We start from the raw sequence: 12,855 nt of genomic DNA, 5'->3' as shown, positions 1-12,855 counted from the left end.
TAGTCCCCGGTCAGGAGAAATTGTCCAAGACTTGGAGATGGACAAGAGGGATTCTGGGCATGCTTCCCATGGGGTTCAGGGCCGGGTTTCAGGGATTGCCTGTTTACACAGGACTCTGTTTGCTGTCTTTCTGTTGACCAGGCTGTTTTATTTATTTATTTATTTATTTAGAGATGGAGTCTCGCTCTGTCGCCCAGGCTGGAGTGCATTGGCACCATCTCGGCTCACTGCAACCTCCATTTCCTGGGTTCAAGAGAGTCTCCTGCCTCAGCCTCCCGAGTAGCTGGGATTACAGGCATGTGCCACCACGCCCGGCTAATTTTTGTATCTTTAGTAGAGACGGGGTTTCGCCATTTTGGCCAGGCTGGTCTCAAACTCCTGACTTCAGGTGATCTGCCTGCCTTGGCCTCCCATAGTGTTAGAATTACAGGCATGAGCCACTGCACCCAGCCTGACCAGGCTTTTTTAATTCTCTGATAGGGGAGACATTAAATGGTAGAAAATGGAAATAATGATTGTCCATAACAATGTAAATGGATTTTGTCCCACAGAGATACAGTTGGTGTCCGTCCCATAGAAAAGATGACTGTAAACATTACATTTTATTGCCCCGTAGGACACTGACCCACTTGGTATCTATTAGCAAATCCATCCTAGCATTCCTAACTGCATCTGTATATGGCTGATTTTCAAATTCTGTTTTCAACTGCTCTCCACATCTCATTGGTTCCCTCATTAATTCACAAGTTGAATGAAATTATTTACACGTTTATTTTATAGTTGAAAGCCATGTTTGCAACTTTTTGAAAAGTACCATTTGGCTTCCCTCCAGGGAGAGCCATGCCCCTTCCTCCTTAACCCTCCGTGCCCGGTACCCCACCTGGCTGTGGCTCTATCACACAGTACTGTCTCCCCAGCTACGCTAGGGTCCTGGGAACCTGCACTTCATCCTGCTGGTTAGGTCTTGTGACGTCTGTATTCACTGCACCTGGTCCAGGGTCAGGGAAAGAGGAGGTGCTCAATAAATGTTTCTGGAGAGCCTCGCCCCATGGGTCACCAGCATGGATTACCCAGGTCACTTCATCAGCACCCAATTCACTGTGGGTTTTTTTTATTTTTTGAGACAGAGTCTCACTCTGTCACCCAGGCTGGAGTGCAGTGGCTCAATCTCAGCTCACTGCAAGTTCCGCCTCCCGGGTTCAAATGATTCTCCTGCCTCAACCTCCTGAGTAGCTGGGACTACAGGCACCTGCCATCACGCCCAGCTAATTTTTGTATTTTTGTAGAGACAGGGTTTCACCATGTTGGCCAGGCTGGTCTTGAACTCCTGACCACAGGTGACCCGCCTGCCTCAGCCTCCCAAAGTGCTGGGATCACAATCATGAGCCACCGTGCCCCGCCCAAATGGTAGTTTTTATACCTTTACACATGTAAGCAAAGATACTTGCCCAGAAAAATTCGATTGTACCTGGAGCGTCACTCAGAAGGACAATATATATAGGGATTTGAACCCAGAAGACATGTCATCAAGTACGATATTTAGGGCATGTGGTTCTTCAAAGACTCTCTACATCTACTGTTTCTTAGCTTCTTGGATGCTCAGTGATGCTTGCAAAGAAAAATCTCCATCCCAGCACATTCTACAACATGTCAGCGTCACTGTGCCATTCATTACAGTTCTTTTCTTCTCGCATCTTTCTTTAAAAACAGCAGCTACAGAAGGAGTCGCATGCCTGTGTTTTATAACTCCTTTCTCTCTCCTGTTGACTTCCTGGCAAGTGTTTGATTTCATTATGACATGGAGAATCAACTTTGGGCCGCGGGAGGCTCATCGAGCTGCTGTAATGGCTGGGCGTTTATTCATCATCCCCTCCCATGCTGCTTCTAGCCTTGACAGTCAGCACAACAAATACTTAATGGCTCCCGACTTCCGTGAGGCTTCATATTTCACACTCGATGGGCTATGGTCTGTAGTGGGTCTGTTCCTCCCTGTGTTTGCAGAAAAACCGGCAGAGGCATAATCGTAAAGTTTTATTCTCCTGTCTTCTTCTGCTCATTTGTAAGGGCTTCCAGACACACATAACTTACTGATAGTCGGACTCTGAAAGAAGCTTCTCCAAGGATGCCTGCTGGGTGATGGAAATGAGGCTCTTCAGAATTGCTCAACTTTCTATCACTATGCAGTTATCGATGGTGGCATTCCTGAAGAATATATTGCTCTTGCAAGCACTTGCTGGGGCTTTCCAGGGTCTTTCGAATCCATTTTGATTTGTTTACAGTTGCTGGCCTGTTTGGTGACTTGGAGATGGTGATATGTTGGGATGATGCCCAGGATGTCCAGGAATAGACTTTGCGGGTAGAGAATGACAGGAGAATCTCTCTGCCTTCTTTTTCCCACTGTTTTCTTTTCTTTTCTTCTTCTTTTTTTTTTTTTTTTTTTTGAGAGGGAGTCTCGCTCTGTCGCCAGGATGGAGTGTAGTGGTGCAATCTCAGCTCACTGCAACCTACGACTCCTGGGTTCAAGCGATTCTCCTGCCTCAGCCTCCCGAGGAGCTGGGATTACAGGCATGCACCACCATGCCCGGCTAATTTTTTTGTATTTTTAGTAGAGACTAGGTTTCACCATGTTGGCCAGGATGGTCTCGATTTCCTGACCTTGTGATCCACCCGCCTCAGCCTCCCAAAGTGCTGGGATTACAGGCGTGAGCCACTGTGCCCGGCCCCTTTTTTTTTTCCCCAAGATGGAGTCTCACTGTTGCCCAGGCTGGAATGCAGTGGTGCAATCTCGGCTCACTGCAAGCTCCGCCTCCTGGGTTCAAGAGATTCTCCTGCCTCAGCCTCCTGAGTAGCTGGGATTACAGGCACCCGCCACCACACCTGGCTAATTTTTTTTTTATTTTTAGTAGAGACGGGGTTTCACCGTCTTGGCCAGGCTGGTCTTGAACTCCTTATCTCGTGATCCACCCGCCTTGGCCTCCCAAAGTGCTGGGATTACAAGCTTGAGCCACTGCACCTGGCAATTTTTTTTTTTTTTAAATACAGGCTCTTGCTCTGTCACCCAGGTTGGAGTGCAGTGGTGTGATCATAGTTCACTGCAGCCTCTACCTCCTGAGCCCAAGCAGTCCTCCCAGCTCAGCCTTCCGAGTAGCTGGGACCACAGCCACACCCAGCTAATTTTTGTATTTCTTGTAGAGAAGGAGGTCTCCTTATGTTGCCCAGGCTGGTCTTGAACCCCTGGGCTCAAACAATCCTCCCGCATTGGCCTCTCAAAGTGCTGGGATTACAGGCATGAGCTACTGCACACAGCCCACTCTTTTTTTCTTAACCTAACAGTTTGCCTAGGACAGAAGTCCATGTAGCAGAGGAACAAGCACACAGACTCTTGAGTCAGGCAGCCCTGAGTTCAAGTCCTGAATCCCCCAACTGCAGTCCCTGAGATCCTTACTTCCCATCCTTTACTCCCTCCTGGTCTATGAATGATAAATTCCCATCCTCCCAAACGTGATCTTGCAGTGACTCTTGCTAGAAAGTGCAGAGTGTGTGGTGAGCGAGGAAACGACGGCGCGCCTGGCCTGCAGTGGGCTCACGTGTTCTTGCTCATCTCTCCTGTGCTTCCTCCATCTGCCACGAGAAGACTATGCCCTGGGTGGCCGCTGGGCCCAGAATGATGAAGATGGGGCCAACCTGAACCCAACCTGCAACCTGGAGATGATCCCGGCCAACCCGGAGAGCTGTGCGTGAGAAAAATAAATGTTGACAGGGGTTGGCATAATTTTTTCTGTAAAGGGCCAGACAGTCTCAGCTGCAGTTTCTCAATTCTGCCCCTGTGGTACAAAGGCAGCCACAGACAACACAGAAACAGATGGGTATGGCTGGGCCCAATAAGACTTTATTCATGGACACTAAAATTGGAAATTCACATAATTCTCTTGTGTCGGGAAATATTCCTTTTTTGATTCTTTTTTTAACCATTTAAAAACATAAACTATTCTTAGCTCATGGGCTACAGAAAAGTAGGCAGTGGGCTAGATGTGGCAGTAGTTTGCCCAGACTTGCTGTAAGCCATTGAGATGTGTGAGGTTTCTCTGTTACAGAGCAAAACTGACTAATATACCCTTCTGTTTGTGCAATCTTGAACAAATTACTTATCCCCCCCTAAATCTCAAGTTTCCTTCTGTTTTTCTTTCTTTTTTTTTTTTTTTTGAGACTGATCTCACTCTGTTGTCCAGGCTGGAGTGCCACAGCACGATCTCAGCTCCCTGCAAATTCCACCTCCCGGATTCAAGCGATTCTCCTGCTTTGGACTCCCGAGTAGCTGGGATTACAGGCACGTGCCACTATGTGGGGCTAATTTTTGTATTTTTAGTAGAGATGGGGTTTCATCATGTTGGCCAGGCTGGTCTCGAACTCCTGACCTCAGGTGATCTGCCCGCCTTGGCCTCCCAAAGTGCTGGGATTATAAGTGTTAGCCACCATGTCTGGCTAAATCTCAACTTTCTTATCATAAGATGGAGGTAACAGTAGAATATTCTCATTGTAAATGAAATCATGTACAGGAATTGTTTTAATTATAGATGTTTAATATATTATGGTGTTATTCTACATACTGTCATTCTAGTAGAGGGAGGGGACAGGAGTTCTTCCCCCAAACCTAAGTCGACTGAGGCTGTGTTTCCCTCTCAGCCAAGTCAAACAAGTGGGGCTCCAGGAAGATAACTCTTCAAGACTGGGGGTGCCGGCAAGCAGAGGCCATGGGCAGCTCACTCCCTGCCAGATGCTTACAGAGCTGCCAAGTCTGCAGTCTCCTTTGTTCCTGCTCTCAGGACAGCCTGGGGTATGGAGAAGGTGTGCCCAGGAGCTTGGCCTGGGTTCCCAGGAGTATAGTGTATATGTGAGCGTAGAGACCGGGGTCTGCTTCCCATCTTGAAAGAATCCGACTGGAGCAGCTGGTGATGGCTGCGCAGGTAGGGACTGTGATGCAATTGCCCAGGAGAAAAGGATAGGGAGTCCCCCACCCATATGTTTACAGCACTTAGAAAACATTGCAGAGGACCTCATTGATACCTGTGGCTCCGTGTGAACGACCATGATACCAAAGGGAAGCAGGAGCCGTGACCCGCCCAGGGTGCCCTCAGTGAGGGACATCTCACCCAGAGAAGGTGGTAAGGGCATGGACCACTGGCAGAGCTTGAAGGGAAATATGGACATCCCTTTTCTTTTCTTTTCTTTACTTTTCTTTTCTTCTCTTTTTCTTTCTTTTTCTTTCTTTTTGACAGAGTTTTGCTCTTGTTACCCAGGCTGGAGGGCAATGGCGTGATCTCAGCTCACTGCCACCTCCGCCTCCTGGGTTCAAGCGATTCTCCTGCATCAGCCTCCTGAGTAGCTGGGATTACAGGCACCTGCCACCATGCCCAGCTAATTTTTAGGAAAGATGCGGTTTCACCATGCTGGCCAGGCTGGTCTCGAACTCCTGACCTCAGGTGATCCACCTGCCTCAGCCTCCTAAAGTGTTGGGATTACAGGCGTGAGCCACGCACCTGGCTGGACATCCCTTTCTGAAGGTATCTTCAGTAATGGAGAAGTCCAGTGTCAGTCTAAACATCACTCCAGGAAACATGGCGGGTGGGGAGTGATGGGCACACCATCTCCATGGAGACCACCCGGGGGCAGGTGGTACCAGAGCCTCAGAGAGAGATGGAGAGCACCTCCATTCTTATCTCAGAGCCACAGCTGGGCTGCTGCAGGGGGAATGGGACCTCAGAGCTTTGAATTAGACATGGGGTTGTGGTTTAAAACTGGAAAGCTTTCTAATAACTGAAAATGATCAGAAAAAAATATAGGATCTGCTTAAAATGTCATTTGGAGATAGAAAGTGGAATTTGACAGAGTGTGGCTGAAGGCATTGATTAGAGAAAATATAAAACCATTTTATGTTTATATCCCCTGAGTCTGAGATTGCTCAATAAACCAGTTAAACATTTGATTACAATCCTCATGTTTTCCCTTCACCCCATCTCCCTAGCTCCCCTGCCAGTGGGAAAATGTCACAAGCTGGTTTCACACTTTTGCTTAAGAAAGGAAGGAAAAGGAAAGAGGGGAGAGAAAGAAAGAAAAGCTCAGTGTCATGGCTATTTTCAAGGACACACTTAAGTCCAGCATGCACTATTTATTTCTGGAACTCCCCTGAGTTAGATGTAACCACAGTTATCTTCCTTCTAGGGTGATTTTACTCAAGGAAAAAATGTTATCCCTAGTGTTCACTTGCTTCAGTCCTTTCAGGCAAAGTCAGAAAGATAGAACCTGCTCCATTTGCAGAACAGCAAGGAAGGAAGGAGAGAGAAAGAAAGAAAGAGAGAGAGAGAAAGAAAGGAATGAAGGAAGGAAGGAAAGAAGAAGGAAGGAAGGAAGGAAAGAAGAAGGAAGGAAGGAAGGAAAGAAGAAGGAAGGAAGGAAGGAAAGAAGAAGGAAGGAAGGAAGGAAAGAAGGAAGGAGAAAAGAAAAAAGAAGGAGAAGGGAAAGAAAGGGGAGAGAAGGGGAAGGGAAGATAGAACCACTCCATCAAGGTGGATCTCAAGAGCCATCTGAAGAAAGCCTAACAAGAAGAGGACCCAGAATCTTTTTTTTTTTCTATTCTGTGAGAAGTGCTTTCTCCAGGTTGCAGTCAGTTATCTTGATCTTGTCTTCATCTGCCCAAGTAGTTTGGGTGGCCTCCAGGTCCCAGGAGCTCAGACCATCCCTGAGGCTGGCCGTTGCTGTCACCCACCAAATTGCTCTTGAAATCTCCTTTATCCGGTTTTGCAGGGGCAGATACGAAAAAGAACAGGGAAGGTTTGGCCTCCGGGCCCTCCACTTCTGTTTTTAAAGTACTCAAAGAACAAGGCGCTTCTGAAGCCAGAATGATAAAGCTGGCTTCACAGATGTCACTGGTGATGGGCGGATGAAAACACAAATGCAGGCCTTGGCTTTGAGAAAGCGAGGAATGCCTGAGAAGGGAATGGTGGATAAAGCGCACATGGAGGCCGGGCGCGGTGGCTCACGCCTGTAATCCCAGCACTTTGGGAGGCCCAGGCGGGCGGATCATAAGGTCAGGCGTTCCAGACTAGCCTGGCCAACATGGTGAAACCCCATATCTACTAAAAACACAAAAATTAGCCGGGTGCGGTGGTGCGTGCTTATAATCCCAGCTACTCAGGAGGCTGAGGCAGGAGAATCACTTGAACCTGGGAAGCTCACAATTGCAGTGAGCTGAGGTCATACCATTGCACTCCAGCCCGGGTGACAGAGCAAGACTCCATCTCAAAAAAAAAAAAAAAAAAATGGCATACATGGGACCCCCACAGCTATCTGCCCAGCCCTTAGCACCCTCAGCTTTCGGGAGGTGGGAGGAGTGGGGAAAGAGAGTGGCAGACAGGCTCCTCTTCATGTCTGCATCTCCCACCTGCTTTCTGTGAGCCACGTTGGTCATCCCCGCACCAGGTTTGCATAGTAGCCATGACAGCTTGTACTGGAGCCGCATGGTGGGTTGGAAAGGCGTTTATCAATCCAAAACACTCCAGTCATTGGCATATTTTATGGGATTCCAAAACCATGGAGAGTGGAGGAACGTTCTTCCCCAAAGCTTCCCTCAGGAGACAGAGAGGAAAAAAAAAAAAAAAAAAAAGAGGAATGAGAGAGACGAAAAGGCTTTTTTACTCCCCAAATTGGAACCACACTTCAGATGAAAATAATGTGTCTTGAAGGCAGTGATAAGATAGAAGAGAAAATTGCTCTAGAAATGTTCATGACGGTGTCTCCCTCTTATCTCTTTGTGCCCCTGTCAGTTGGAGACACAGTGTTTTCTGCTGATTGAGAAAACCCAGAATATGGAACAAAAGCTGTCTTTAAAGCGTGGTCTCTGAGAACATTAGCCCGTTTTTTTAACGTCTTTAATTTCACGGCTTCAACATGTACGGTTGTTTGACAATTTCATGAGGCAGCTGTGGGGAGAAAACAAAACGTGGCTGCCAATTAGCGCTGTCTCACTTGTCTGTCCAACTGCTCCGTCTTTTCTGAAGCCTTACATGCATTTTTCCAAGCCACTTGGCTTCTTCGGTGCTGGATATTTAATTTGCCTGGAACATTCTCACAGATCAGCATTTCATGAGAGCCTCGTGGAAGGCCTGTCTGACGGTGTGGTGCTTGGCTGGAGGGCAGCACCTGTACCTTCCTGGTCAGTTCTCATCAGAGAAAAGGTGTCACTTGCTGTCTTTCATATGTTGAAGTCCTAACCCTCAGGACCTCAGAACTTGCCCTTATTTGGAAATAGGGTCTTTGCAGAAGTAATCAAGTTAAGATGAGGTCATCAAGATGAGCTCTAATCCAAAGACCAGTTTCCTTATAAAAAGTAAAATTAGGCCGGGCGTGGTGGCTCACGCCTGTAATCCCAGCACTTTGGGAGGCCGAGGTGGGCGGATCACAAGGTCAGGAGATCGAGACCATCCTGGCTAACATGGTGAAACCCTGTCTCTACTAAAAATACAAAAAATTAGCCGGGCGTGGTGGCGGGTACCTGTAGTCCCAGCTACACGGGAGGCTGAGGCAGGAGAATGGCGGCGTGAACCCGGGAGGCGGAGCTTGCAGTGAGCCGAGATCGCACCACTGCACTCCAGCCTGGGCGACAGAGCGAGACTCTGTCTAAAAAAAAAAAAAAAAAAAAAAGTAAAATTTGGGCCAGGCACTGTACCTCACACTGTAATCCCAGCACTTTGGGAGGCCGAGACGGGTGGATTACTTGAGGTCAGGGGTTCAAGACCAGCCTGGCCAACATGGTGAAACCCTGTCTCTACTAAAAATACAAAAATTAGCTGGGTGTGGTGGCAGCCTCCTGTAATTCCATCTACTTGGGAGGCTGAGGCAAGAGACTCGCTTGAACCTGGGAGGCGAAGGTTGCAGTGAGCCAAGATCATGCCACTGCACTCCAGCCTGGGGGACAGAGGGAGACTCTGTCTCAAAAAAAAAAAAAAAAGTAAAATTTTGACACAGTTATACACATAAAGGGAAGCTGATGTGCAGAGACACAGGGAGAAGATGCCATCTATAAGCCAAAGAGAGAGTCGGGGAGCAGCTGCCTCCCTCAGAAACCGTGGAAGGAACCAACCCTGCTGACACCTTGATCTTGGACTTCTGGCCTCCAGAGTGGTGACAGAAGAAATTTCTGTTGTGTAAGCTACTCAGTTATTGTTACTTTGTTATGGCAGCCACAGGAAACCAAACAGTTATTGAAAAAGCCCCTGTGGTCTGGAGAGTGCAGAAGGCTGCCTCAGTTTCCCCAGTGTGGCTGAGCATGACCTTGGTTTAAGAGAGATGAGGTTGAAACAGGGTGAGCTTTACTCGGCCAAGATTTCTCATGCTTCTTCTAGCATCCACCCCACCCACCTGACTCATACCTGTTGGGATGCAGCAGGCCGGGAGACTGGGGAGGGGACAGCAGCCTTCCCTCTGGTACTGCTCATTCAGCACCAGATCCTCCAGACTGTGGGGCCCTGCTCTGGCTATCCCCAATGCCCTGGATGAATCCAACATCTTCCCCTGGCCAGCACATCCCTGACTGCCTGGCTGTTGTCTTCCCAGGGGCTCTGGAGCTAATCTGGTAAACATTTCCTTTACATATTTAAGGCTAACCACTTTACCCAAGACAGCCTGGCTTTCTAGAACATTCTTTCACACTCAGAATAATTGTCTGGACACTGGTCCCTCAGAGGCCAGTGTGAGAGCATCTTCTCCCGTATCCACTGCCCAAGAGGAGGTGCCACTCAGCTGAGGGGCTTGAGTGGTCTGTCTTTTAGGGCTGATTTGGGCTGAACAGTATCCTCCAAAAGATATGTTCAAGTCCTAATCGCTGGTACCTGTAAATGTGACTTACTTGGTAAAAGGGTCTTTGCAGCTGTAATGAAGATGATGTAGGCTGGGCACAGTGGCTCACGCCTGTAATCCCAGCACTTTGGGAGGCCAAGGTGGTCAGATCACTTGAGGTCAGGAGTTCCAGACTAGCCTGGCCACATGGTAAAACCCCATCTCTACCAAAAATATAAAAAATTAGCTGGATGTGGTGGCGCAAGCCTGTAATCCCAGCTACTCAGGAGGCTGAAGCAGGAGAATCGCTTGAACCTGGGAGGCGGAGGTTGCAGTGAGCTGAGATCATACCACTACACTCCAGCCTGGGCAACAGAGTGAGACTTTGTTTCAAAAAAAAAAAAAAAGAAAGAAAGAAAGAAAGAAAAAGATGATGTAAAAGGCAAATACATCTTGGGACCCTGAAATCACTAAGCCAAAGGCTGGGAACTGCAAAGATTTAAAAAAAAAAAAAAAAAAAAAAAAGCTACACACCTCTCTCACAATTTTCCCACACGAAAATTCGGTAGACAAAGGACAAACAGAACTCAAAGTCACCCTCTGCTCACCTGAGGCAAACGCATATCTGCTTCCTTGCCGCCATCGTTTCACTGAGCCAGGCTGGACGCTGGTATAAGTGACCATTCCGTTACACTACTCTCACAGGTAAATGGTGTATGCAGTAATCAGGTGGCTAATCAGAGGCTAAAAGAATGCAACTGTTTCTCTCTTATCTGCCTATAATCAGGAAGCCCCTTGCTTCAAGTTGTCCCACCTTTCCAGATCGAATCAACATACATCTTACACATATTGATTGATGTCTCATGTCTTCCTAAAATGTGTAAAACCAAGCTGTGCCCCAGCCACCTTGGGCACATGCTGTCAGGACCCCCTGAGGCTGTGTCACGGGTGCGTCCTTAACCTTGGCAAAATAAACTTTCCAAATTGATTGAGATGTCTCTCAGGTACTTCTGGGTTCACAACGAGGTCATGCTAAAGGTGGGCCCTAAATCTAACAAATAGTGTTTGGTTTTTTTGTTTTGTTTTTTTGAGACGGAGTCTCTGTTGCCCAGGCTGGAGTGCAGTGACGCGATCTCAGCTCACTGCAAACTCCACCTCCCAGGTTCAAGCGATTCTCCTGCCTCAGCCTCCTGAGTAGCTGGGATTACAGGCGTGCACCACCACGTCCAGCTAATTTTTGTATTTTTAGTAGAGACGGGGTTTCACCATGTTGGCCAGCCTTGTCTTGAACTCCTGACCTCAAGGGCTCTGCCTGCCTCGGTCTCCCAAAGTGCTGGGATTACAGGTGTGAGCCATCATGCCCGCCGGACCTAAAAGATGCTTTAGTTAATCTGTTTCGGATTGGGAGGGCCTGGAAGAAAAAGAGCTAGCTATGTTAATAGAGATTCTTTACAGATGCAAATTTTCCCCCACAAAGGACAGCTTTGCAGGGCCATTTCAAGATATGGCAAAGAAACATGTTTTGGGGTAAAGTATTTTGATTTTCTTCCTTGTCTCGTAATGTTATGCCAGAGTCAGGTTGGAAAGTAAATCACAATATATAGGGTTAAATAAAACCCATCTGATGAGAATTTTTGATTTATAGGTCATGACTCCCAGACCCCTTAGGAATTTGGGCAAGATACAAAAATCAGTTTAGTTCTCACCAGAGAACTTGAATCCCAGCAGGAGTCTGGGAGCCACTAGATGGCAGTCAAGACTGAGGCTGGACCAAGTCTAAACCAGCGGCAATGGCCACATGCCCATGGTGGGCAGAGGCAGGGCGGCCCCCTTGGGAGGGGAAAGGGAGGACGCCGCAGCCAGCTGTGTCTGTGAGGGACAAGGCAGGGGCAAAAGTCACTATTCAGGGAGGATGGAGGTTTGAAAGCCCAGGAGCTTTCACGTGAAGAAGAAACCAAGTTCAGAAATGTTCAGAGGCTTACCTGATGTCACAAATCAGTGTCTTGGACACAGAGCCCAAAACTGGCCCTGGGTCTGGTTTGCCCACCATGTACAAGAGAAATTCATCTTAGCTGGCTCTGACTTAGAAAGAGGAAGAAGGTGCCCTTGGGGAGGCCACCTGGGCTCTCCATTTTGAAGCAGGCAGCTGTCCAGAACTGCAGCTCTTCCCCACAGGGGCTACCTGGCCAGAGGCTGCTGGGTCAGGCAGTGCTCACCTGTCAGGTCAAGGAGGCCCAGGGAGGTGTGTGGGGAGCCACAGCAGCAGGTTGCAGTGGGTCCCTGGGGTGGGTGGGATGCTTATGGGTCAGATTAGGGACCTGTGTGTCCCTTCCACGGGCAGCTTTCTGCACAGCCTTCCCTCTCCATAAGTGCAGAAAGAGATCGAGGCCTCCTGGTCACTTGGAGCAGTGTTCTTTATTCAGACAGGATCCTTCTGGGTTAGTTCATCCAGATTTTTGGAAACTTTGGGAGAAGCATCCATTGTCATTTATGTGCAAGTCTGGCCACATCTAGTTTCCCTGAGCCAAAATTGCAGCCACCTTGTAAGATGCTTCACAGGCTCTTGGTACCTGATGTTGACAGCGATAAAAAGGCAAAGGGGAAGGTTAGTGAAGACTTTTTAGTTCTTAAAAAAAAACCCATAATGATGAGTAACATTTATCAATCGCAAATGATGGGCCAAGCATTTTGCGTGCATTGCCCAATTTAGTTCTCACAACCACCCTTGAGATAACAAACAAAATGAAGAAGAAACCAAGTTCAGAAAGGCTCAGAAACTTGCATGATGTCACGAATCAGAGCCTTGGAGTCAGGGCTGAAGCAGGACCTGGGCCTGGTTAGCCCACCCTGTACAAGAAATGCCCTCCAGCTGTGCAAAAGCCAAACCTTAGGACAAGAGAAGGGGAGCTAAAATTGTCGTGAGAAAGAGTTTAGAGGAAGCAATGAAACTTTAGGGATACAAAAATTGCACAAGCTCCCATTTCACTTTTCCCCAAATATTAATATCTTTCGGAACCTTAGGAA

At 47.9% G+C, this 12,855-nt stretch overlaps 1 annotated feature.

Annotated features, from left to right (window-relative positions):
• Positions 11,472-11,766: a silencer, noted in NCBI's record as "tiled region #11385; HepG2 Repressive DNase matched - State 12:CtcfO, and K562 Repressive DNase unmatched - State 12:CtcfO". NCBI's record gives its function as "represses a minimal TATA promoter and a strong SV40 promoter by Sharpr-MPRA in HepG2 and K562 cells {active_cell/tissue: HepG2 | K562}" and the evidence as "EXISTENCE:reporter gene assay evidence [ECO:0000049][PMID:27701403]".

This window comes from Homo sapiens, chromosome 17 (genome assembly GCF_000001405.40).
Source record: "Homo sapiens chromosome 17, GRCh38.p14 Primary Assembly".
NCBI lineage: Eukaryota > Metazoa > Chordata > Mammalia > Primates > Hominidae > Homo > Homo sapiens.
The sequence above is the reverse complement of the archived record's forward strand: the minus strand, read 5'-3'. Positions and strand labels throughout refer to the sequence as shown.